The 26,225-nt window shown below is 44.1% G+C and overlaps 1 protein-coding gene across 4 annotated transcripts in view, besides 1 other annotated feature; it reads right to left on the bottom strand.

Moving 5' to 3' along the window:
* The window catches only part of PCYT1B (phosphate cytidylyltransferase 1B, choline), a 114,801-nt gene continuing 93,614 nt past the window's right edge, over positions 5,039–26,225 (bottom strand). For 3 of the 4 annotated variants that reach the window (NM_001163264.2, NM_004845.5, XM_017029977.2), the window contains 2 exons: positions 22,082–22,270; positions 5,039–9,457 (listed from right to left, as the gene is read on the bottom strand). In NM_001163264.2, the coding sequence (NP_001156736.1) occupies positions 9,245–9,457; positions 22,082–22,270 (402 nt within the window). In that variant the 3' untranslated portion in view covers positions 5,039–9,244. The remainder of the gene's footprint in view (positions 9,458–22,081; positions 22,271–26,225) is intronic. The other variant, NM_001163265.2, reaches the window with a different exon arrangement.
* Positions 8,211–8,370: a silencer, noted in NCBI's record as "silent region_20720". NCBI's record gives its function as "represses an Ori minimal core promoter by ATAC-STARR-seq in GM12878 lymphoblastoid cells {active_cell/tissue: GM12878}" and the evidence as "EXISTENCE:reporter gene assay evidence [ECO:0000049][PMID:35858748]".

The raw sequence follows: 26,225 nt of genomic DNA on the forward strand, positions 1-26,225 counted from the left end.
GATAAAGTTCAAACTATAGACCAGTCATTGGGAAAAGCTAGAATGCTGGCTGCACCAAATCATGTCTCCCTGGCACAGAGCAGGCCTACGAGCTTTGCGACTTTCTTGATAATCTGCCTAACAGCAATTGGGAAATACTTAAAAAGGAGAAAAGGCTTGTCAGTTTGGATTTGGGCCAACTAAGCAGTTTTGCCGTTTCCTTCTCTGCAAGAAACTCCAAGTTAGGCTAATGCTACTCTTACATTCTCTGGCATTCTTGTCCAAACAGTATTTGCAAGTCCTCAAACAAAATAAACATGTTAATGATTTCAACAACAGTGATGGATGCAGAAGCTTCCAACAGTTCCTTAGTGACAGCTTAATATAATAGTGGAATTATTTCTAAAGTTAGAGATAATTATTGTCACCTTAGCACAATAATTGGAATGGAGCTTCCTATATGAAAACTGCTCTTCTCCTAGGGCTTCAACTGGTCATGAAATAACAGTTTATAAGGGCAAATAAATGCCCCATTATTCAGGTGAGGGAGGCCCGTCAGGCACTCTGCAATCAAAGAATGGAGGGGAGACTGAGAATGACCATCTCATCCATCAAGCAGCCCTGTCCAATTAGGATCATTTAAACTATTTCATGCAAGGCCCTCACAAAACAGAACCTTACTGCCATTCATGGGCCTAGCTAAGGGATATCATTGTCAGTCTCCTCTTTTCAGCATACTCAGAAAATAGTTTCAAATGAATAGAAAATCTTTTAAAAATCTGGTTTTCCTATTTTCCCTCACTCTCAGAGTTGGTAATCTTTGTACTCAGGGACAGTTAGAGCACATCACCCCCAAAGAGATGAGTAAAATCATGTAAAATTAGTAAGTAAAATAATTGTAAGATTCTATTGGTAGAATCAGAAGTTTCAGTGGCCAGAAACATGGAGTTTTCCTTAAGAGCTCAGTAAAGTCAAAGACAGGGCCAGTCAGGAGACTGAGAGGCAGACTAGTAAACTGAAATTGAGGGCAAAGGGGCAGGGATTGTGTCCCCTCTAGTCTTTGTGTCCGCAGCACCTAGTGGCCCACTCAAATGTTTGTTGAGTACTTCGGATGGAAATGTATGCCAGACCTTAAGTTAAAATGTGGATCAAAGGCCACGACTTTCAAAGGAAAATGAGTTACTCTAGAAAGGAGCATGGAGTAGCTTGAAAGTGTGTTGTGGCTGAAAGTGATTCCTAGCTTAAACTGGCTGTGATCAGCATCCAAAGAACCAGAAAACAAAAACAAAAAGAAAAACAAAAAAACAGAGGGCAAATAGGCAGGAAACAGATTGTGCCTGACAGCCAGAATCTGTACCCCTGGGTTTGTTTCAGTGGGAACATGTCCAATGGTCAAAGACTTTGGTTAGTTACCATTTTCACTTCTTGTTATAGCCAAGTATGGATTGGAGGATATGTACAAGGAAATGGGGGGTGGGGTCCTTTAACTTCCTTCCCTATTGGCCATGGCTCCATGTTCATGAGTTGAGGTTTCAACACTTCCTCTCCTCATGGACCAGGGAGCATGTTCCTTTGGGTCAGATATCCCCGTTATATCTATTCCATGCTTCGTGTGTGTGTGTGTGTGTGTGTGTGTGTGTGTGTGTGTGTGTGTGTGCGTGCATATGTTTTAGACAGAATCTCGCTCTGTCAGGCTGCAGTACAGTGGCACGATCTCGGCTCACTGCAACCTCCACCTCCCAGGTTCAAGCGACTCTCCTGCCTCAGCCTCCCGAGTAGCTGGGACTACAGGCACATGCCACCACACCTGACTAATTTTTGTATTTTTAGTAGAGATGGGGTTTCCCCATGTTGGCCAGGCTGGTCTCGAACTCCTAACCTGATCTACCCACCTCAGCCTCTCAAAGTGCTGGGATTACAGCCGTGAGCCACCATGCCCGGCCCATGCTTGTCTTGTGGACATCAAAACTCAAACATTTTAGCAAGGTCATCACTGGTAGCTGTTAAATAGAAATGGTAAAAAGAAGAAATTATCTCTATTTGTATGAGAGTTACTGCTCCTCAACTCTGTCAGGACTTGGGAAAAGATTCAAGGATTTGTGACCACTGTCCTCAGTCACCTTGGGTTAGAGAAAATAATGGTTCCCCAAAAATGTCCATATCCTAATCCTCAGAACCTAGGAATACGTTGTATTACATATGAAGAAGGAATTAAAGTTGCTGATGACCTGAAAATAGGGAAATGCTCCTGGGGTTATCTGGATAGGCCCAATGTGATTACAAGGGCTCTTATAAGAGGAGGAGGCAGAAGAAGAGTCAGTGTCAGAGTGATGTGACATGAGAAAGACTGGACTGGCTACTGCTGGCTTTGAAGATGTTAGGGGGCCATGAGCCAAGAAATGCAGGTAACCTCTAGAAGCTGGAAAGGGCAAGAAAATAGATTCTCCCCTAGAGCCTCCAGACAGGAACAGCTGCCACCTGCCAACACCTTAATTTTAGCCCAGTAAGACTCATTTTGGACTTCTGACCTTCAGGACTGTAATTTAATAAATTTGTGTTGTCTTAAGCCTCTGTGTTTGTTGTAATTTGTTAGAGCAGTAGGAAACGAATACACACCTCTTCCACTTCTTTCATCTATCATTAATCCCTGGGTACCAGATATAGAAACAAATAGAAAAAGAATCAGTGACTCAGTGGTGTTAAGGTGGGTCTGTGATCAGGCTGGTAAATGGCATTTTGTCAACATATTCCCAGTGGAACATGACTACCAAACAGATTAAAAAGACTGGTTATCTTCTCAAGCTATGTAATGGGTCATGTCCTGCTACGCACATGGCAGATGATGACAAGTTTTCTTTGGACTTGGACATTTTAGAGTGACAGGGATATTTGCAAGTATAGTCCGTTGAAAAGGTCCCTGTGGAAAGGGTAAAGTACTCCAACTCTTTCAAGTAGAGAATCATCAATTCTTTTTAAATCGAAGGTTACAGATCAAATATTTTACTTGTAGCTAATCCCTCCATCAGAACTCTTTATGAATAGAGTACAGGAAGCTTGTAGCTTAATTATTTCACCTCCACTCAAGAAAGATTATAAAGTTAAGGAGAATAGAAATTGTTTATAGGTGAAGCCGGGTGCGGTGGCTCACACCTGTAAATCCTAGCACTTTGGGAGGCCGAGACAGGCAGATCACTTGAGGTCAAAAGTTCGAGACTGGCCTGGCCAACATGATAAAACCCCATCTCTACTAAAGATACAAAAAAAAAAAAAAAAAAATTAGCCCAGGCATGGTGGCGTGTGCCTGTAATCCCAGCTACTCAGGAGGCTGAGGCAGGAGAATCGCTTGAACCTGGGAGGCGGAGGTTGCAGTGAGCCGAGATCCCACCACTGCACTCCAGCCTGGGTGACAGAGCGAGACTCTGTGTCAAAAAATAAAAAAAAATTGTTTCTAGGAACAGTACATGTCAACCCTGCTCTGACCATTTCTCCAAGTTTCTCACATTTTGGTCAACTGCAGCTGATATTTAGTCAATATGGTGCCTTTTCTAGAATACACATTATAGTCGTGTCAAAGACTAACATAAGGCTTCTATCAGCTACAGATATTTGGGCTCTTAATGAGATCTTCAGATTTTACTCTTGATTGGTTTCTACTTGATGGTTTCTTAAAGAAGTTGATCACCAAGTATACTTTGATGCTTATGAACTGTCACACTCTGTCTCAAAAGCATCTCTATGGGAGTCCTTTTAATCTAATAGTTCCTGCTGAATACCTGGAGAAGTTGCCTAAACATTCAACTCCAGTTACCAATGAAGACTCCAAGACAAGAGGACTGTGTGTGTGTGATATGTGTGGGAACACTTTTGATAGTGTACCTTTTCCCCCAGGAATTATGTTCATTAACAAAGGCTAATTCTCTTGGGGGCAAATATCAAGGTTCTTAAATATGGGTTTTAGTACACCTTGTAACTGATTGTTTTCCCCTTGAGAACATGTCTGAGGCATCATGGAAGTCAAGAAGAAACTTGTAACTGTTGCTTGAAATACAACCTGTCAAGAATGCATTTGATCTATGTGGTGAAACCAAATAGTATGGTGTACGAATAATAGGTATTCCATTTTAAAATTCATTCCCTTGCTGACTACCAGCCTGGCTTTATTTATTCTGGACCCGAGGCTAATGTCAGAACTGTGGTCATTTCAAAAAGCGCAACCTCTCCAGATGGAGTTAATGGAATTTCCTTAATTTGGCGAGTGGAGGGCACCAGCACAGTTCTCAGAATATTGACATCTGCCTTAGCTGTTGACATTTGGGATCCAGATTTAGTGCGTCCACCCCCATCTATCTGTGTCTAGCTGATCAAAGAAGCTTTTTTTCCCCAAAGATGGAAAAGTGGTTGAAATGGCCACTTCCCAAAGTTTAGGTACACTTGGGAAGCATTCCGTCAAGTGACAAGATAAGAAAAGTGGATGGAACTCTAGAGCCTTTTATCTTGATGCTAGAAGTGTGGAGGCTGAAGGCATGAAACCAGTCACCAATGCGGCTGTGGAGGCCCCAGGGGACTGGAAGACCACCTCTCCCGTGAGAGTTCAGTACTTTCTCATGGTCGTTCAGTGACAGCATCACAGCTGGTAGAAGCTTGGGGCAATGCAGCCTGCCTCATACATTCAGAGACCTTTACAGGCAAAGGAGACCTTAGAAATAATTTCCTTGAGGCCAAAGAAGTGAAAAGGTTAGGCCAAGGTCACAAAGTCAGTTAGTAGTGGAGCCTACAATGCAGGGTCCTGACTGGGTTCACCATGTGAGCTTCCCTCCACGTGGTGCTGTTCCTAACTAGCTTTCAAGTCAAATGTGGGGCCTTTGGCAACTCCAAGGCTTTGCCCTGCTCTGCACGGTGCACAGTCACATCCTTCTGAAGGGCTGGGGCCACAGCTGGGCAGAGCCAGCCGGTGGGCCAGGACAGCTGCTGCAATGCCTGTATTTTTCCCCATTGAGCTAGTTCATAAATAGGAACACACAGCAGCACACTTAAGAAACATGACAATGACACACGAAAGTGCAATTCTGCATCCCTTTATTTATAAACGAGTTGAGAATGGTGTGGTCCATTTGAGAGCAAGAATGGGATAGGAGCAGGGGGGCAGGGGGCGCGCAGAGTTGGGGGAGGCTGATTCCAGTAGTTCGCGTTATTCAGCACCAGAGTAAATGCTTGGGCATAAGGTCGTGCTTTAACCCAGACAGGTCTTGTCTTATATGTACAGCATAGTCTTAAGTATGTATGCTCTACTTATGGCTTTGTCCCTGGACACATCGCAGTGACACAACAGAGGAAAACTAGAAAGAAGTCTAGAGAGGAGAAGTTGCAAATGCCTCATGAGCTATTTCTTTTTTAAAAATCTGATGGCCAAGACTAGTGCTGAACGGATGCCTAAGAAACAGGCACATCTCTGCTAGAGACGGGCTCATCTGCTTCAGCTGAGCCAGTGACACCGTCTCGCATCTCTCCCTGGGGTATGACTAGATGCTAAAATAAGTACTGAAGACGGAGAGAAAATAAATCCGTGCTCTTCCTGTCCCTCCCTCAGGGGGTGAAATAACAGTATCTAGTAGCCTAAGAGCAAAACTGAAATCCCTAAGCTGTGTCTCTTCCACTCAGACCAGGTTAGAAGCCAGGCCAATGTCTCACGTCCTGCTCCTCTTGAGCCTGGCATTTCTTTGCCTTGGTAAGGTCCTGACACACAGGAGCATGCTTGCCAGAAGCAAGTCGTTCAGTGTGACTTATGGCACAGCAATCCCACCCTTGTTTCTTAGCTGGTGGAGGGGTGACCAGTTCATTTTAGGGTCCCCATAAGCAGCTAATATAGAAGTGCTGAAATGAAGCAACCAGAGAGGCAGGGACCCCATATCCTGCATGGGCATTTGCTAACCTTGGTTGTGCGTAAAAGGAACCCTTCCCTCTTCACCTGTCAGGGGGTGAGTTAACACTTGAAAGGGAGCGGAAAATCGGCTGGACGCCGTGGCTCGTGCTCATAATCCCAGCACTTTGGGAGGCCGAGGCGGGAGAATCACCTGAGGTCAGGAATTTGAGACCAGCCTGGCCAACATGGTGAAACCCCGTCTCTACTAAACATACAAAAATTAGCTGGGTGTCGTGGCAGGCACCTGTAATCCCAGCTACTTGGGAGGCTGAGGCAGAAGAACCCCTTGAACCTGGGAGGTGGAGGCTGCAGTGAGCCGAGATTGTGCCATTGCACTCCAGCCTGAGCAACAAGAGCAAAACTCCATCTCAAAAAAAAAAAAAAAGAAAGAAAGAAGAAAGAACAAAGAAGAATGAAAGAAAGAAGGAAGAAAGAGAAAGAAAAAGAAAGAAAGAAAAAGAGGAAAGAAAAAGAGAAAGAAGAAAGAAAAAGAAAGAGAGAGAGAGAGAAAGAAAGAGAAAGAAAGTAAAAGAAAGAAAGAAAGAAAAGCGGAAAATCACTACCCTCCTGCTCCCCTACAACTTCAGTCCCACTTTCTCCCATCTTCATAAGCTGCCCCCTTCTGCAGTCCTAAGTTGCTATCCTCCAGCCCTCATTCTGAAGCTTCCTTTCCTCACTAGGGCAAAAAGAATCTCTTTCCTTGCTTTGTGTTATTCCTGCTTACCCCTCCAAGCTTGGGGCATATTTCTCATTCCAGCCTTAACTCACTCTTGGCCATTACAGTTGACCTGCTGGCCCTAACAAAGTGCAACCCGGTCTCTGCCTGGGAGCAGGGAGGTGGTGTGGGGGTAGGGGCTGGGAGAGACTGAGAGATGGCCAAAAAGTATCAAAAGTTGGGTTGTAGAATCCTTCCCATTCCTTCTCAGTAGATTTGCAGCCTCAAGAGGGTGGAACGGGGGGACTCACTGCAGGTTAGGAGGGTGAGATTTAGAACCCATTTATGTGTGGTTTGGGCTCATCCCTGGAATAGGCATTAGTTATTTCCCATAATTGGCAGCAATGGTGACATTATCTGATGAGTCACGTAAGTGGCACCTGTCAGTATGGCGTGTAAGGCCTGCAAATGTATAGTCAGCCTGATACACTATTTGCTCCAGAGTATAAGATTCAGGTAAAAGTGAATCTATCTGCCCTGGGCCATGGAGCAGGGGCACAAAGGCCTTCCCAAGAGAGTCTCACCTGTAAAGTGAGGTCCTGAAATGGTTTTATGAGAGCAGATTTTCTTTATCCTCCTTTCCTCCCTCCAGGAACTTCTTTCCTCCTTTTCTCTTCCCTTGTTCCCGCCACCTTCCCTTGCCTGGCTGGCCTCATCCTTCACTGCTACAAGTGCCAACTAACTCAAATGGTAGGCAGACTTGCATGGCTTGACCTGAGTGCATGATGGAAGACAGAGACCAAATGGAAGAATGAGGCCCTTGTCCCTCTCTGAAGAGCAATATTCTGGGTGGCCCTTGACTGCAAAAAGAAGTTTTCTTCTTCACATGCCATGTTCCTGCCAGCCCTCTGTCCCATATGAGTGCTTCCCAGAGTCCTGGAGAAGGAAAGTGCCAAGAACAAAGAGGTTCCAAGCCAGCTCAGCCTCATAGTTTTGCTTCACAGCAGACAGCACTCATCTCCAAGTGGATAGGGAGGTAGTTCAACCCCAACAAGAAGGGGAAAGACATGCCGCCTTCCTTCACTGGTTGTCCCCTTGTCACCTAGAAGGCTGGTTCCCAAGGCCTCTGAAAAGGGGTATTTCTATCACAAGAGATTCTGGGCTCTGCCTACAAGTTGCTGGTTTGGGCCTCTATTCAGTCAGACCCCAGCTCTGTGTCTGAATTTACTGGCATACCCATACAATAACCCAAAGAGTTTGGTTCTATGCCTTAACTCTCCCTGCTCATTTCGCACAGGTGACTAAGGAGCAGGACCTTTGGACAACTCAGCAGGAACACTTAGAGTCTTCATCCTACTTGGCAAACCTAGGGCCAGAGATAATGGTGATACTACCTAGACCATTCAGATGCTGAGATCATAACTGAGCCCACAGTTCTCTGTAAAAAGTCTTGAGTTCTCCTTCACCCAAAAATGTTATAGGAGGCCACGAGAACAAAATACTAATTTCCTGGTTGGGATAAAACGTTTCCACAGGAATCTGGAATAAGCTTGACAAAGTGCCCAAGTCACAAGAGAACAGATGTTTCTTGAGACCAAGGATTTCAGAGGAGTATTATGGTGGAGCGCAGGAGTGGGGTCTATTATAAAATGCCACCACTATATACTCATATTGCACATGGGATACACCCGGGGATGACATATTGGAGCATATATAGAACAGATACGTGCAGGTAGCACCCCCTATTGGTATACTATGTTTGATACCTCAAACTGTTACTTGAGGTCTATGAAACTGTTAACTGGTCAGAAATGGGAAAAGCCATTCCATAATAGCATCCTTTAAGGAGAAGCTTCAGGAGACATTTCTTGTCCGCTAAACCTGGAGGCAAAGCAAAGCAGCTCCTCTTTTTTATATATTAGGAAGTTTTTCTTTGTTGCAGTTCCCACGGATTAAGGTAATTTCTGCAAAACAATGAAGTCAAACCAGTGATGAGAAAGTACAACCAGGAGCACATCAGGCCTTACGTGGAGTTCTTGACAAAACTGTCCTTTGAATAAAAAGTTAAGGTTCACACTAGATGACCTTTTATAACCAGCCTAAAGCAAGGCTTTGTCTATGAGCCACATTCATGGAACTGGAAGGAGCTGATGCGTTCCAACATCAGGTCTCAGTGGCTGGACTGAGGAGGTTGGAATCTGTCTTTTTCTCGACTATTTCAGAAGCACTTTGCCACCTCTATTGGAAACAATTTTATTCTGGCAGAGCTGGGGTGGTGGGAGGCAACGTGCAGGACCCTTATGGACGCAGAAGTAGCAGGTTGAGGGAACAGCCGCTGCCACAGGTGGTTTACTTGGTGGGGGTGGTGGAAGGACCAAAGCAGAAGTCACCCCATCAGTGCAAGTCTCTCTAGGGAACTCTGCATCCTTCCTTAGCAAGGTTAGAGTGACTCTAGACGCTAAGGTTTGTGTAGGTTGTCCAGCTAGAAGTCTCTGCACCTCGCCCAACTCTTCAGCTGTACGGAGAGTGAGAGAGAACTGGTCCCAAGACCTTCCCTTAGCAGAGTTCAGGGTCTCTCTGCTGAGCTGCAGCTCCTGTGACTATTACCCTTCAAACACCACCCAGGCAACCCTGTGACTCTCGCCCTCCTCCCCATCCTGCATGGTGCGGCTCTTGCCTCCCAGCAGCCTCTACTTTTCATCCTCATCCCCCTCGCTCATGCTGCTGATAGAGGCTGAGGCTGCTTTGGGTGAGGAAGGGGGTGAGGTTTTGAGTGGAAGCCATGAGAAGGTGGGCGATGGGGAGCGGGAAGGGGACCGGCTCCGGGTTGGGCTGCTCACAGGGCTCTGCTTCGGGGATAAGGCCTGCAGCATCCGGCTGCTCCTCTCCTGGAACATCTGCTTCTAAAGATAAATTGGAGAGAAGGCATCTGTTAACTTTGCAATCTGAGGCAGCAGCAAAACAAAAAGGTAAGGCAGGCAGGAGAGCCACTACCCCAAAACTCCTGAGCCCACAAACCTACACTCATACCACATCCCGTGTTGTCCAAGACTATGTATAGTAAGGAACCGAGTGATATTCAGGGGTAGTGACAGAAGATTACAGTCACCACTGGTTCTTTTTTTCTCTTTTTTTTTTTTTTTGAGACAGAGTCTCGCTCTGTCACCCAAGCTGGAGTGCAGTGGCATGATCTTGGCTCACTGCAACCTCAGCCTCCCAGGTTCAAGCAATTCTCCTGCCTCAGCCTCCCAAGTAGCTGGGATTACAGGTGCCCGCCACCATGCCCGGCTAATTTTGTATTTTTAGTAGAAACGGGGTTTCACCATGTTGGTCAGGCTGGTCTTGAACTCCTGACCTCAGGTGATCCACCCACCTCAGCCTCCTAAAGTGCTGGGATTACAGGCGTGAGCCACCATGCCCAGCTACCACTGGTTCTTAACACTCTTTCCTTCTTCCTTTTTTTTCTTCCATCTACAAAATTTAACTGAGTGTCTCTGACTAGCCAGGCAAGTAGTCATGACCTACGGACTGGAGGGGTGGCAGAAAACAAAACCCCTGACCTCATACCCTCACAGATATGAGGAGGAATCACACAATAAACAAAATATGGTATGTCAGATGGATCTGTGGTCTGTGAGAAAAAGAGGGCGAGAGGATAGCAAGTGGGGCTGGGAGCAGGGCAGCTGCGATTGCAAACAGGGTGCTCGGGGAAGGCCCCACTGAGAAAACGCTTCTTGAGTGAAGAACCTGGAAGAGATAAGGGGAGGGACCAGGTGAATGGAAATCAGAGGGCAGCGCACTCCAGACAGAGCACCCCAAGAAAGGAGCATGGAACGCACACCCAGGAAGCGCAGGCAGGGCACCGCGGCTGCCTTGAGGGCTGATAGATGGGGAGGAGCTGAGGGAGGCGGTTGGGAAGAGGTTGCCAGAGAAGGCACAGAGGGCTGTGCCATGGAGGGCCTTGGCAGCCATTGTGAGAACTCTGCCTTTCAGTCTGAGGGGACCCATGCAACAGGTCCCAGGAGAGGAGGAGGCCATCGTGGCAGTATGGAGCGAGCTGGTGGGGAAGGGAGAGGGGGAGGCACTGCGGGAGATCAGGCCAGAGACATATCAGGCGGCAGTTTCACGTACAGTCTCCTCTGAGAAGAGAAACCTCTGGAGAATTCTGAGCAAAGGATTAACAATCTGCTGCTTGTTTTCAAAAGACCATTCTGACTGCTGTGTTGGGAACAGATGGCAGTGAGGCGGGGGCAGGAACAGGGAGCCCACTTATGAGCCCGTTGCAATAAGAATCCAAGGCCAGGCGCGGTGGCTTATGCCTGCAATCCCAGCACTTTTGAAGGCCAAGTCGGGCAGATCATTTGAGGTCAGGAGATCGAGACCATCCTGGCCAACATGGTGAAACCCTTTCTCTACTAAAATACAAAAAATTAGCTGGGCAGGGTGGTGGGCACCTGTAATCCAAGCTTCTGGGGAGGCTGACGCAGGAGAACCACTTGAACCCAGAAGGTGGAGGTTGCAGTGAGCCGAGATGGCGCCACTGTACTCCAGCCTGGGCAACAGAGTGAGACTCCGTCTCAAGAGAAAAAAAAAAAAATCCAAGATGGTGATGGAGCCTGGCCCGGCCCGGGATGATGGCAGTGTGCTGAAAAATGGCAGGATTCCTAGTATATTTTCCCCCATATTTTTACTGAGGTATAATAAACTCACCCTTTTTAGTGTACAGTTCTGTTAAGTTTTTGTTTTGTTTTGTTTTTTTGTTTTTTTGTTTTTTGTTTTTTTTTGACAGAGTCTTGCTGGAGTGCAGTGGCGCGATCTCGGTTCACTGCAAGCTCCGCCTCCCGGGTTCACGCCATTCTCCTGCCTCAGCCTCCCCAGTAGCTGGGACTACAGGCGCCCGCCACCCGGCCTGGCTAATTTTTTGTATTTTTAGTAGAGACGGGGTTTCACCGTGTTAGCCAGGCTGGTCTCGATCTCCTGACCTCGTGATCCGCCCACTTTGGCCTCCCAAAGTGCTGGGATTACAGGTGTGAGCCACCGCGCCCGGCCAGTTCTGTGAGTTTTGACAATGCATACAGTTGAGTGACCACCACTGCAATCAAGGCATAGGAGGGTCCCATCAGCTCCCAAATTCCCTCATGACCCTTTGGAGTCTCCCCTCCCCCAGCCACTGGCAACAGATGTGTTTTCTGTCCCTACAGTTGTGCCTTTTCTAGAATGTCATCAAAATAGAATCCTACAGTATGTGGTCTGGCTATGTTTTCATGGTAGAGCCAACGGGACTCACTGACAGATGGGACATGGGGTGTGGGAGGAACGGGAATCAAGTGACTGCAGTCTCGGGTCCAAGAAATTGGAAAGCAGTGATGCCATTTCCCAGTTTGGGGAAGACTGTGGGGTGGGAGGAGGTTTCGGTGGTTAAGATCAGTTTACCAGTTTGGGACCTCATGTGATGGTTGCTGGGTGCTTTCAGAATTGAGCCCTTCCCTGAAGCTCCCCACTGGGCCCCCAGTGCTCCCAGCCTACTGTGCCTGCTGCCTGCTGCTCAGCCTCCCAGACGCTGCATCCCACCAACTCCTGAGCATCCTGCCTGTGCTGCCTGGGGTCTTTCAATTGCTCACATTTGAGCCTTAGCCCCCAGCCACTCAGTTCAATCCTTTGATACAAAACTGGCCCTGAAAGCCAATTCTCCTATTTACCATCTTAGGCTTTGCTTGTCCTTTGGGTTATTCATTTTACAAACCGTTACAGAGATCTTCTGGGGACCAGGTGCTACACAGGAGGAAGGGGGGGAAGAAGAGGGTAGAAGAGGTGGTCATGTCTCAGCTGGGTCTTTGATAATGCCCAGGAAGAGGTGGGTGGAGATGGGGAGTGGGTCCATGGGGGCTAGTAGAGGATGGCCTTTCTAAACAGAGCATGCTAAGTAAGGAGTACTAAGTCTAAGTTGCTTAGTGTGGCCAGAACCCCAAATGCCCATGGGGTGGCAATGGTCTGGACCTAGAGCACCACAAGGAGACTGGATTTCCTACTCAAGAAACCCAGAAAGATTTTAATCAAGGGCGGAGTCTGATCAGATCTGTGTTTTAGAAATACCTTTGGGTGTCAGCATAAAAGCAAAGAAAGAAACCATAAAGGAAAACATTGACATTTGACTACACAAAATTTTAAAACTTCTGTACCTCAAAAAAAAAAAAAACACCATGAAATAAGAAAAAAGGCAAAAAATAGTGGAATTTTTTGCAAAGTTTACCTACAAATGATAGATCTCGGTATATAGACAGAGCTTATAAATCAAAAAGAAGAAGGTGAAAAGCTTAGTAGAAAAATGAACATATGGCCTGTATAGACAAGTCACAAGAGAAATTTGTAAATGAGCTAGAAAAACTGTTCAGCATCACTAGTAGTCGAACAAATGCAAATGGCTGAAATAAGATACATTTTATATATCAGATTGCTAAAGTTTTAAAAATTTGTTACAGCTAGTGAGGGCTCAGGAAAAGGGCTACCTTCATGTTACTGCTGGTAAGAGGATAAAACAGCAATGCCTTTCTGATGGGGAATTTGGCAATAGATGCAAAAACTTCTATTTTCTGAGGAGATAATCAGAGATGTAAGTAAATCTTTATTGTGTATGATGGACATTCAATGCAATGTATAACACACAACACTGCAAATTCTCTAACTAGGTTAGAAAAACCTGTACAACTCCAAGATGATATAATAAGCAGATGAGGAGAATCAGGTTCTTAAATAATATTTCATCATGTGAGAAAACACTCATGAGCAACTGCAAAGCCAAAATGATTTTAGAACACTATGTTCTGCATGATCTCAAGTTTGTAGAAGGAATGTACATATACGGAGATGGGAAACAGATGGGAGTGATAACCCGAAATGCTAACAGAGAGACTGCTCTGGATGATGAGACTGCGAGTGATTTTCAGTCCCTTCTTTACTTTCTAATGGTTATATAATGAATATATATTACTTTTATCATAAAAAAGCATCACAGTAGGAAGAAAGAACTCATGTAACCCATGCAAGGAGATCAGGCGGAAGGGCAGGTGTTACAATAATGACATTGGTAAGGAACTATTAAGGCCACAGGCGCATCACCAATAGCACTGCCTGCCCCCAACACTCATTTTTCCTTTCTAAGCTCTAGCCCGTTACTTTGTAGAGTCCCAAGTTTCCTCTAGCAGATATAATAACAGATGATGGCTGATTGCTCAGGTCTTTTCCAGATTTAAAATTCCACACGTCTGCTAATATACCAATTATTTACCTTCCATTAAGGCATTGATAATTCTGCCAAAAGATATCAAGCCCCCCTCAAAGTCAAACAGAAAAAAAAGGTGCAGTACAACAGCACTCCCTTAGATTAAACCCATTTATGAGGCAAATTCAAATGCTATAAGGATTTGGTGGTCTATTATTAACAGCAACATTTAAAAACATTCTTGAACTTCTAGCAGGCACTTTAAAATATGTGTTTTTATTACTGTAATCTTTAAGTATATTTTCTGTGGCAGCCATTAGCCCTCCTGCTGTTAATGGATTGTCAGGATTTCCATTAGAAGTTCACTTTCTAAGAAATCTACGACTTGTCTACTATAGTTTGAATCAAGCTCATAGCTGAGAACATTCTGCCTGAGGGGATGAAAGAACTTGAATCTTTAATGATAAACAACGGTGTCGCACTTCATAAAATGCAATATCCATGCAAAATAACTCCCAGCCTCAATTTGCCAGCTCTCTGATCTGTTTCTGGTGCATTTTGAAGGGTGGTTCCCTTGCAAAGGAGCGGAATTCAATACAGTCAGGAGACAGTTTGTAATGAGCTTCCTGGGAAGAAAAGCACTTTAGAAATATAACAAATAAGGAAGAGTATGCATGGCATTTTCCAAGAGTAAAGGTATTTAAATTCAGTCTCTCACTGTATTAAGAGGTTTCCATTTATAATGTTTTCCCTCAAGAAAATAATCCCATTTATAGTCCTGTCCATACGAAAGTAGTTTTCTATTTCTCTCCTATGAAGTTTTCCCTTTTAAGAAGTACTTAACATCGGCCGGGTGCGGTGGCTCATGCCTGTTATTCCAGCACTTTAGGAGGCTGAGGCGGGCGGATCATGAGTTCAAGAGTTCGAGAGCAACCTGGCTAACATGGTGAAACCCTGTCTCTACTAAAAATACAAAAATTACCTGGGCATGGTGGCGGGTGTCTGTAATCCTAGCTACTCAGGAGGCTGAGGCAGGAGAATCACTTGAACCCAGGAGGCGGAGGTTGCAGTGAGGCGAGATCATGCCATTGCACTCCAGCCTGGGCAACAGAGCGAGACTCCATCTCAAAAAAACAAAAACAAACAAACAAAAACCAGAAGTACTTAACATCTAGTGGGGCAATAAATGTCTTGACAAATGCCTTTAAAGGTTTCAGTATTTCAGATCTATTCTGGTTTATCTGCCGAAAAGAAATGATAAAGTTCCTGGTACGATCTGGTTTGGTTTGGCCCTTGGGTAAGCAAGATGAAACTCAAGGAGAGAAAAGGGCCCATGCTTCAGTTCTGGCCAAATCAATAACAACTAACCCTTACACGGTGCCCGACACAGGTGCCAGGCACTGCTCTAAGGGCGTTGAAGTGTGAGCCAGTCTGGGTGCGATGGCTCATGCCTATAATCCCAACACTTTGGGAGGCTGAAGTGGGAGGACCGCTTGAGTCCAGGAGTTCGAGATCAGCCTGGGCAACATAGTGTGAGACCCCCATCTCTACAAACAATTTTGAAAAACTTAGCTGGGCATGGTGGTATGCACCTGTAGTCCCAGGTACTCAGGTTGAGTGGGGAGAGGGCCTAGGTGGGAAGATCGCTTGAGCCTGGGAGTTCAAGGTTGCAGTGACCCATGATTGTGCCACTACACTCTAGCCTGGGCAACAAAGGAAGACCCTGTCTCAAAAAATATAGATTTTAAAAATGAAGTATGAACCAATGTAATCCTCGCAACAGCCCTATGTGGCAGCTATGCTTACTTTCCCCATTTACTGATGCTATGACTAAGTCCCAGAGAGGCAAATGAACTTGCCTTAAGTCACCTACCCAGAGAGTGACCCCCTGCTCATGACCACCTCTCTTGTAATTAGCCAGTTGCATAATAAGAAACTTTTCATGTTTATTCACATTTTACTTGTACCTTTGTTTAAGGATAAAAATTTGGGGCCGGGCGCAGTGGCTCATGCCTATAACCCCAGCACTATGGGAGGCCGAGGTGGGTGGATCACTTGAGGTCAGGTCAGGAGTTTGAGACCAGCCTGGCCAACATGGTAAAATCCCATCTCTACTAAAAATACAAAAATTAGTCGGGCATGGTGGCATATGCCTGTAGTCCCAGCTACTCAGGAGGCTGAAGCAGAAGAATCACTTGAACCCAGGAGGCAAAGTTGCAGTGAGCCGAGATTGCACCATTGCACTCCAGCCTGGGTGACAGAGCAAGACTCTGTCTTAAAAACAACAACAACAACAATCTTTTTTTAAAAAAAGATAAAATTTTTTAAACTGTCAAAGTCTCAGGTGGGAAATCTAATGCAGATCCACAAACTATATTTTGTAGCTCTTTTCTCAAAATCAAAAATCTTAAAAATTAGCAGTGCCTAAAATTAGGACGATTATTTAAAAAAAAAAACAAAGAAACAGAAAATAACAAGTGTTGGTGAGGATGTGGAGAAATTAGATCCCTGTGCATTGCTCGTGGAAATGTAAAACTGTGCGGCCACTATGGAAAACAGTAAGGCGGCTCCTCAAAAAAATTAAACATAGAATTACCATGTTGTCCAGCAATTCTATTTCTCAGTATATACCCAAAAGAATTGAAAGCAGAACTCAAACACCAATGTTCACATCAACCCAAACATCCATCAATGGAACAATGGATAAAAAAGATGTGATGTACACATAAAGTGGAATATCATTCAGCCTTCAAAAGAAAGAAAATTCTGACACATGCTACAACATGGATGAACCCTGAAGACATCATGCTAAGTGAAATATGCCAGCCACAAAAGGACAAATGCTGTATGATTCCACTCATATGAGGTTCATAGAGTGGTCAAATTTATAGAGGCAGGAAGTAGAAGGCTGGCTGCCAGGGGCTGGGGGCAGAAGGGGATAGGGAGCTCTTGTTTAATGGTTACAGTTTCTGTTTGGGATGATGAAGAAGTTCTGGAGATGGATGGTGGTGATGGTTGCAGGACAATGTGAATGCAACCATTTAATCCCACTAAATTGTGCACTTAAAATGGTTAAAATGGGCCGGGCACAGTGGCTCATGCCTGTAATCCCAGCACTTCGGGAGGCTGAGGCAGGCAGATCACCTGAGGTCAGGAGTTCGAGACCAGCCTGGCCAACATGGCAAAACCCCACCTCTACTAAAAATATAAAAATTAGCTGGGCATGGTGGTGGCGCACGCCTGTAATTCCAGCTACTCGGGAGGCTGAGACAGGAGAATCGGTTGAACCTGGGAGGTGGAGGTTGCAGTGAGCTGAGATCACACCATCGCACTCCAGCCTGGGAGACAAGAGCAAGGCTCAGTCTCAGAAAAAAAAAAAAAAAAAAGGTTAAAATGGTACATTTTATGTTTATGAATATATGAATATATTTGTCACAAATTTGTTTTTTGAGGCGGAGTTTCACTCTTGTTCCCCAGGCTGGAGTGCAGTGGTGCAATCTCGAGTCATTGCAACCTCCGCCTCCCGGGTTCAAGTGATTCTCCTGCCTCAGCCTCCCGAGTAGCTGGGATTACAGCCGTGTACCACCATGCCTGGCTAATTTTTATATTTTTAGTAAAGATGGGGTTTCACCACGTTGGCCAGGCTGGTCTTGAACTCTTGACCTCAGGTGATTCACCTGCTTCGGCCTCCCAAAGTACTGGGATTACAGGCGTGAACTACTGTGCCTGGCCACCAGCTGACGTCTTAACTGCAACTTCATGAAAGACCGAGTCAGAACCATCCAGCTGGGCTGCTTCCTGGTTCCTGACCCTCAGAGACTGTGAGATAATAAATGTTTGTCGTTTTAAGCCACCAAGTTTTGAGGTAATTTGTTACCACCAAAAGCTAACTAATAGGCATGGATACCACACTTTCTGTTTGCTGAGAAAGCCTAGAGACAGCAGTACAGTGGAGGGCTGAGAGTGCCTATCATAAATCTAGATGGCCTGGTCTCAAGCACAATTCTGGCAACTGGCATTGTCAAAGGCCTTAGAGGGATGTTGGTAGACCTCAGTTTCTCTACAGTGACACACCCCGACCAAAGGAAAATGAAGCAAAATGACTGCATCATGTGGACATTCCTATGGTGAAGGATACAGACATGACCAGGAGAAAGAGGCTAGCCCCAGGCTCCATCCTACCGCCTACCAACTCCTGTGAGACCACGGGAAAGTTTCATCGTATAATTTTGTAGGCCTTTGTCTATATCTATATATTTATCTATAAAATGTACCTTCCTGTGTGATTAAAATGGGTGGCGGGAGGCCAAGGTGGGTGGATCACTTGAGGTCAGGAGTTTGAGACCAGCCTGGCCAACATGGTGAAACCCCGTCTCTACTAAAAATACAAAAATTAGCCGGGCGTGGTAGCACATGCCTGTAGTCCTAGCTACTCGGGAGGCTGAGGCAGGAGAATCACTTGAGCCCGGGAGGCAGAGATTGCAGTGAACCGAGATCGCGCCATTGCATTCCACCTGGGGTGACAGAGTGAGTGAGACTCCATCTCAAAAATAAATAAATAAATAAAAATAAATAAGTAAATAAAATGGGTAGAATAAATGTGCAAGGACATTGAAAAAAGAATTCAACCTGCCATACAACTTTTAGACAATATCATCATCATCACCTTCTTATTTACTATCATCATCATCATCATCATCATCATCACTACTTTCTACTCAGAGATAGCATGTAAGGGCTTCAATTTTATATTGGCATCCTTAATGTCAAATATGAGGTCACTTGGGGAGACTTAAAAGACTATGGCCAGGCACTGTAATCCCAGTGGCTCATGCCTGTAATCCCAGCACCTTGGTGGGCCAAGGCAAGAGGGTCTCTTGAGCCCAGGAGTTCGAGGTTACAGTGAGTCATGATCACACCACTTCACTCCAGTCTGGGCAACAGAGTAAGACTGTATCTCTACAAAAAATTTAAAAATTAGCTGGGCATGGTGGCACACACCTGTAGTCCCATCTATCTGGGAGGCTGAGGTGGGAGGATTGCTTGAGCCCAGAAATTTGAGGTTACAGTGAGTCATGATCATGCCACTGCACTCCAGCCTGGGCAACAGAGTGAGACCCTGCTTTAAAAAAGACTATACCACAAGGAGCAAATTCAAATATTCCCTGGGGCCAGATGGGCTGCATAAATGTGTGAGTCAGGTTAGGGGAGGGGAAAGGAGCAGCGGAGCAAGGTGTGACTATGGCAAACAAGAGCTCATGCCTTCCCTAAAATAAATTTTAAAACATTGTTAAGGGCAAAGCACACCACGTCTGTGTACTGAATTTGATCCACCAAACACCAAGTTGTAATAAAGTCCTGTACCTAGCACCATAAGCAATAAAAGGCTAAGGCTATCTATCTGCTTATCATCTATCTATCTGTCTACATACACACACGCGCGCGCACACACACACACACACACACACGTATATGGGGTGGGGGATTTAGGCTTTAGCACACAAATCCTTTGCAGATGCTGGAAGGTTCTGTGAATAGGTCTTCTTCATACATCCATTCATTCATACATTCATTTAACCCAGAAACATTTGTGGAATACCCACTATAAGTTACATACTATGCTGCATACCTATCTCATTGTACCAGAACTTGTATCTTAAATCCTTCTATTTTGTGCCTTTCCAAGTTTGGGTTGTTTGTAACAGTACTGTATTTGCCGGTAATACAGATCTTCTATTTTAAGAAATGAGTTCCAGTCCCAAATTCACAAATAAGGAATTATTATAATAATAGCATATTCATGAAAAGCAAATTACTTATCTTGGCGTTTAACATCCTTGTAACTATTCCTGTATTTTTAACGTCAACAGAAAAAAAGTAATGTCTTAGTCTGGCTGATATGGTAAATTAATGGTAATAACAGTTTTGACACTAATAGCAAGTTTTAAAAAGAAAAACCTCCAGTCTCTAAACTGGGTTTCATTTCTTAAAAATCACCTTGGCTTGCTGTCATCAGACTCCCAAGAACAATTCCAGCTACTATTTCACCTTCACTGGGAGCCTGAAATGACTAAGGTCTATAAAGTTTTCATCAAATTATATATATATATATATATACACACACACACATATACACACATACACACACATATATATACACATATATACAAACACACACATATATACACACATATACACACACATACACACATATATACATATACACACACATATATTCACACACAGAAATACACACACATAGATATACACACATATACACACACATATATACCCACACATATACACACACATACACACACACACACACACACACACACACACATATATATATATATTTTTGAGACAGAGTCTCTCTCTGTCACCCAGGCTGGAGTGTGGTGGCATGATCTGGGCTCACTGCAACCTCCGCCTCCTGGGCTCAAGCAATTCTCCTGCCTCAGCCTCCTGAGTAGCTGGGACTACAGATACGCGCCACCACACCTGGCTAATTTTTTTGTATTTTTAGTAGATACGGGGTTTCACCATGTTGGCCAGGCTAGCCTCAAACTCCTGACCTCAGGTAATCCATCCACTTCGGCCTCCCAAAGTGGGAAATTACATTTTTTCCCTGCCTTTACTCACTCCAAGTGGAGAAAACATCCACCCTCTTGAGTTACTATACCAACTCTTATCAGCAGAGACAGGTTTCTGAATCCCTGTAAACGAATGAACACCTACATGGTTTCATTAAAAACCACTAGTTGTTTCTTTAGAGCCTGGAAATTAGTTGTGAAAATGTGAACTATTAAAATACACACTAGATTAAATAGAAAATTTCATACCATATGTCATAGAGACGAGAGAACAGGGTCTGTACTTTGTCTGTTTTTATGTTCTTCTTTATGCATAGTGCCATGCATAGACAAAAACATTAAGAAATGTACCAGGAATTAACTTATCTGAGCTGAAATTTTTAACAGGCCTGGGGAAAATGAAAAGGAGCCCAGCCCTTGGCTCCTCCACTCTTGCCAGCTCTTTCTAGGAGTCTTTGAAGGCTCATGCAGTCCTTGTAAACCTTTCACCCCTCTCAGACTCAGCCGATAGGACATGGTTGGCCTATAACACCCACGTCTATAATCACTTAGAGGCTGCCAGGTGTTAAGCAAAGCATCTCTCCCAACTTCCCAAACATTGTTCTTTTTCTATTACTAATTGAGTGTTTCACTTTTAGATAATCCTATAATGAATGAGCTCAAACAAGCAGAGGTAGCAGTGACAACCCGTCAATAAAATAATTAAGTCAAAGTGGATTTTGGTAGAGACTTCTCATATTATAATAGGAAATCCAGGCTACTTAAAATCAGAGAAATCAAATGGAATTTTTTCTTTTTGTTGTAGGAGGAAATTTTGTTTTTAGTATCTCTTTCATACAACCCTCGTCAACCCTTTAGCGTCTCTAAAGTAAACTTTTCGAATCTCTTTTACAGACCCCTCATCAACTCTCCTGATAATACTGGTATTTACTTGGGAAGGGCATGCACAATAGAAATACCAATAAAGTACCAGTGGAGGTTTCCAGAATTTTCTTTTCCCTTTCCATAGTTATCATTCAAAGTTGTTCAGATTTTAGGCAAGGAGACCCTCTACATTTCCTCTCAGTTTTAAGATTCAGATCATGTCCTCAGTCCCCAAAGACTGTTGTGCCTTATCCCAACACTTGCGTGTCATGAAAAACCAGGGGAAAATCAGGGCACGATGGGCACAGATGCAGGGCAAACTCCTACTTCTTCTCTCTCTGTCTTGCAACCAGTAAAAGAGGAGGGCTCCTCACAAGAAAAACTGACTGACAGAGTACATTTCTTTGGATTCTCCTCCCCAAAACATAAATGCCAGTAGTTGATCCAAGATCCCATGATCCATGTCTTGTAACACAAGCTCCGTGCTGCCACTAGCCCACTTCATCTGTACTCCCAAAGTTTCATCATCCCCAACTGGGAGACTGAGATGAGCGACAGCATCAACTCCTGAAGTAAGAGACACTCAAGTGATCACCAGATGGCTTCCAAGCTCTGGATAAGAACTAGAAACTGAAACCAGACGTGGCTTTGTGTGCTACTGGGTGCCATATTGACGAGTAAAGCAGAAACTCAGTAAGGAAGTGACATGGACTTGAAGTCATTCAGGCTGATGCCTAAAGTAGAGGGCATGCAGTGGATCTGAGATAAGGGGCACCCTTGAGTGGCTCCATAAAAAGGAGGATAAACTGAAAACACTCATCATTGTGGGGTAAAGTGAAATCATTACATACCCATGCTCCATCAGGTCCAAACAGTTCTAGGAAGTTGCCAATGAATTCCCTTGACTTCTCTTCCCACTTTTGAATTAGATCATGGCTCTTTTCTTCCACTCTGTTCACAAATTCCTTTGATCTTTCCTCCACATTCTTGACTTTTTCCTTCATTTTGTCCACTTGGTTCTGGAAACGGTACCTCTTCTCCTGGTGAAAGTTTACAGGAAAAAAAAAAACAGATTTATCCAAGAGGACATGAGAGAGATCAATCATTCACATTAAAGTTCATATTTTATTCCAATTTGTATTTGTTCCTAACCTGAAGAGTCAAGATGTTGCCATTTCCCAAGGGCTAGGTTGATGGAAAGGCACATCTCTTGTAAGAAAAGTCATCTGCCATTAATCCATTTGGATATGTAAAGGGAACTACAAGTGGTTTTAATATCTTCTTTCTTTTAAATGTCTTTGAGTTGGATTCACTTATATAAGAGGAGAATAAAAAACACACAGTTGTCTTTTGTTGTGCATAGATATTGGGCAAATAACCCCATTCAATTCTGCTGGGACTTAGACAAAAGTATGAATTGTGCACACAATGACTATTCAGAAGCTGCCTGAGTTCGCTGTTTTACTGGGATATGGTTAAAACAATATTGCTTGAAATAAGTGGGCCATTAACTGGGCCTTAGAACCTATGTGTTATACTAAAATTTCCACTGTAATATTTTCCACTATGCTAATTTAACTGTATTGATTTCCTTGGTGGTGATGAAAGCTTTTGTGCTGATAGTTTCTCTAGACTCAGATTTTGTTCTTCTTATAGTCTTTCTGCAGCAATGTCTACTTATGTGCTTGGAAACCATCGTATGCTGGGCAAGTCACATATCACCTCTAAACCTCAGTCTTCTCATCTGTAAATTGGGGATAATAATCATCCCTACCTTAGGGTTGCTGTGACAATGCATGCAAAGTGCTTGGCACAAAGGCCAGCATTTAGTAAATGCTCAGTGTATGTTGGCTGTTTCATTAGTATTAAGTGGCAGAGGCATTTGTCTGTGTTACCTGATGAGAGCAGTATTAAAACCATGAAAATAACATGTGGCTCTTCCCCCATGAAATCATGATGTTTCTCCTAAAGGGGTAAGGCTTATCATTTTTCTTTACTATGTGGGACTAAAGTTCATTTTGTGTTTCAGAATTTTATTTTTTTGAAATGGAGTCTCGCTCTGTTGCCCAGGCTGGAGTGCAATGGCATGATCTCAGCTCACTGCAACCTCTGCCTCCCGGGTTCAAGCGATTCTCATGCCTCAGCCTCCTGAGTAGCTGGAATAACAGGCACACACCACCACATCCGGCTAATTTTTTGTATTTTTAGTAGGGACGGGGTTTCACCATGTTGGCCAGGCTGGTCTTGAACTCCTGACCTGAAGTGATCCACTCGCCTCGGCCTTCCAAAGTGCTGGGATTACATGCATGAGCCACTGTGCCTGGCCTGTGTTTCGGAAGTTTTTGAAACACCTGGAATATTGCAAAACTGGGTAAAGAGTCCTTGATTTCGACCTTCCAAACCTTCCTGCAGCCTCAGGCTGGGGCATGAGCTATGTGTGTTGCTACTGAGAGCTATATATATACATATATGTGCTATGGGAGGTCACTCTGTCTTCCGTTACTTACTAGGTGACCTTAGGTGAGTTGTTCAACCTCTCTGGGCCTCTGTTTCCTCATTTCTATGTTGGACATAGTCATCCTACCCACCCTTGTAGGCCCATCATGAGGATTAAATGAGATAATCCAAGTAAAACACTTAGATGAGCATATGATGAGTTCTTGGCAAATGTTAGCTGTTGCCTTTATATCATTCTTTTCCACAGTTCATTCTGCACTGGAAATAGTTACTATACATGGCTCTCAGGGCAGCACAGAATAGCTGAATGAGCACTGGGCTGGGAGTCATGAGACTGGGGAGTTGCTGCTGCCTCTACCTCTCCCTGACCTGAAGGACCTTGGCCAGGCTCCCTTTCTGGGCTCAGCGTTCCTCATCTCTAAATTGAGGGACTTGGACTGGGTGACTGACTGGCATCAGGTCCCTGTCACCTCTGAGGTTCCGTGATTTGTCTACACGCCCATGCAACACATTAGATTTCATCTCTGAACTGCAGCCAGGTTTGTCGTCACAGGAAGGCAGTGAGTGCATCCGAACTGCCTGCACGGTTCCTTGAGCTAAGTGGCTTATCTAAACGCCGTTTAAAGAGAGTGAGCAATAACTTTTGAAAATGGCTTGACATGTTTGGATGGTTGACCGAATTCAATTTGAAAGAACAGACAGTTTAATTTATTGAAATAACCAGGGCTTTATTCTCTATCAGATACTAAATAATCACTTTGACTGAATTATGTTCAGCCACTTGTTCCAGTGCCACTCAAACCTGACATTTTCCGACATTTCCTGACATTTTGTTGCCCGGCTTATATGAAGTTACAGAGCCTAGACTCTCAACACTCCCTGCCTTGTGAGGACAACTCATGATCAACGATTCACAATTAATGAGCCCCTCCTATTTTGAAGGTACCAATGATCAATTGTGTGAGCTATTGGATAATTATAGCTGCATGTAATTTTAAGTATCTAGCTTTGAAGATGAATCATCCTTTGAAAATACAGCGTCTATTTTGGGGGTTAGAATTCTGTATGTACGGAGGGTTCTTATTTTAATCAAAGATATCGGCACCTCACAGCCCAGGCAAATACAGTTGCTCAGAATCACTAACATCATCTCCAGCAACTGGGCTGCCCTCTTTGCTTTTTAACAGCTTGTTTTGCTTATTTTAAAGATTGTTTTTATTATTATTATTATATAAAAATGGCATCCTGAGGGAATCTAAGTCACTGTTAATGTTCTTTGTCTACTATAAAGACACATGCACATGTATGTTTGTTGCAGCACTATTCACAATAGCAAAGACTTGGAACCAACCCAAACGCCCATCAATGATAGACTGGATAAAGAAAATGTGGCACATATACACCATGGAATACTATGCATACATAAAAAAGGATGAGTTCATGTCCTTTGCAGGGACGTGGATGAAGCTGGAAACCATCATTCTCAGCAAACTAACACAGGAACAGAAAACCAAACACCGCGTGTTCTCACTCATAAGTGGGAGCTGAACAATGAGAACACATGGACATAGGGAGGGGAACATCACACACCAGGGCCTGTCAGGGGGTGGGGGGCTAGGGGAGGGATAGCATTAGGAGAAATACCTAATGTAGATGACGGGTTGATGGGTGCAGCAAACCACCATGGCACGTGTATACCTATGTAACAAACCTGCATGTTCTGCACATGTATGCCAGAACTGAAATATTGTTTTAACAGTTGCTCTATTATTAAACTAACAGCAGTCCTGTGGGAACAATATGGTAGAACTACAAAAGGAAGCCAAAGACTTTAGGCTTTATTTAAGCAGCTGTAATTTCTTTGGACAATGAAAAATGGCCATTAAGGTTTCTAATGAGCATCTGTAAGGCCTTAATCAAATGAAAATTTTAAAACGTTAGAATAAAAAAGTTTCTCTGGGTTTAGCTTTCATTGCCTCTTCCCTCCTCCCTTTCCTTTCAGCAGAAGATAACTCTTGCCTTTTACAAGGGGCAGATCTCCCAGAAACCCTTCAATCAAGTCTAAAAACTCTAAAGAGAGAGTTTGGGGTAAGAGGAGGGAAGCAAGGAAGCACCTTTATAAAATGTGAAGCTCACTACCTGTGTTCTTTGGTTAATTTATGTTACCCCTGTAGATACTGGTTTTGTCATCTGTAAAATGGGGATAATAATACATCATGGGTTATTGTGTGGGTTAAATGAGAAAATAAATACAAAGCGTTAAGGACACTGCACAGGCATGGTGGCAAATGCCTGTAATCCCAGCTACTCAGGAGGCTGAGGCAGGAGGATCGCTTGAGCCCAGGAGTTCAAGACCAGTCTGGACAACATAGTGAGACCCTGTCTCAAAAAAAAAAAAACAAGTTAAATCAAACTTAAAATATTATACACAGTGAGACCCCATCTCTACACAAAAAAAAAAAAAAGAGAGAGAGAGAGGGAGAACACTGCATAGCACTTAGTAAGTGCTCAATAAACAGCAGCACTGGTGGTGGTGGT

Source organism: Homo sapiens, chromosome X (assembly GCF_000001405.40).
Source record: "Homo sapiens chromosome X, GRCh38.p14 Primary Assembly".
In the NCBI taxonomy this organism is placed as follows: Eukaryota; Metazoa; Chordata; class Mammalia; order Primates; family Hominidae; genus Homo; species Homo sapiens.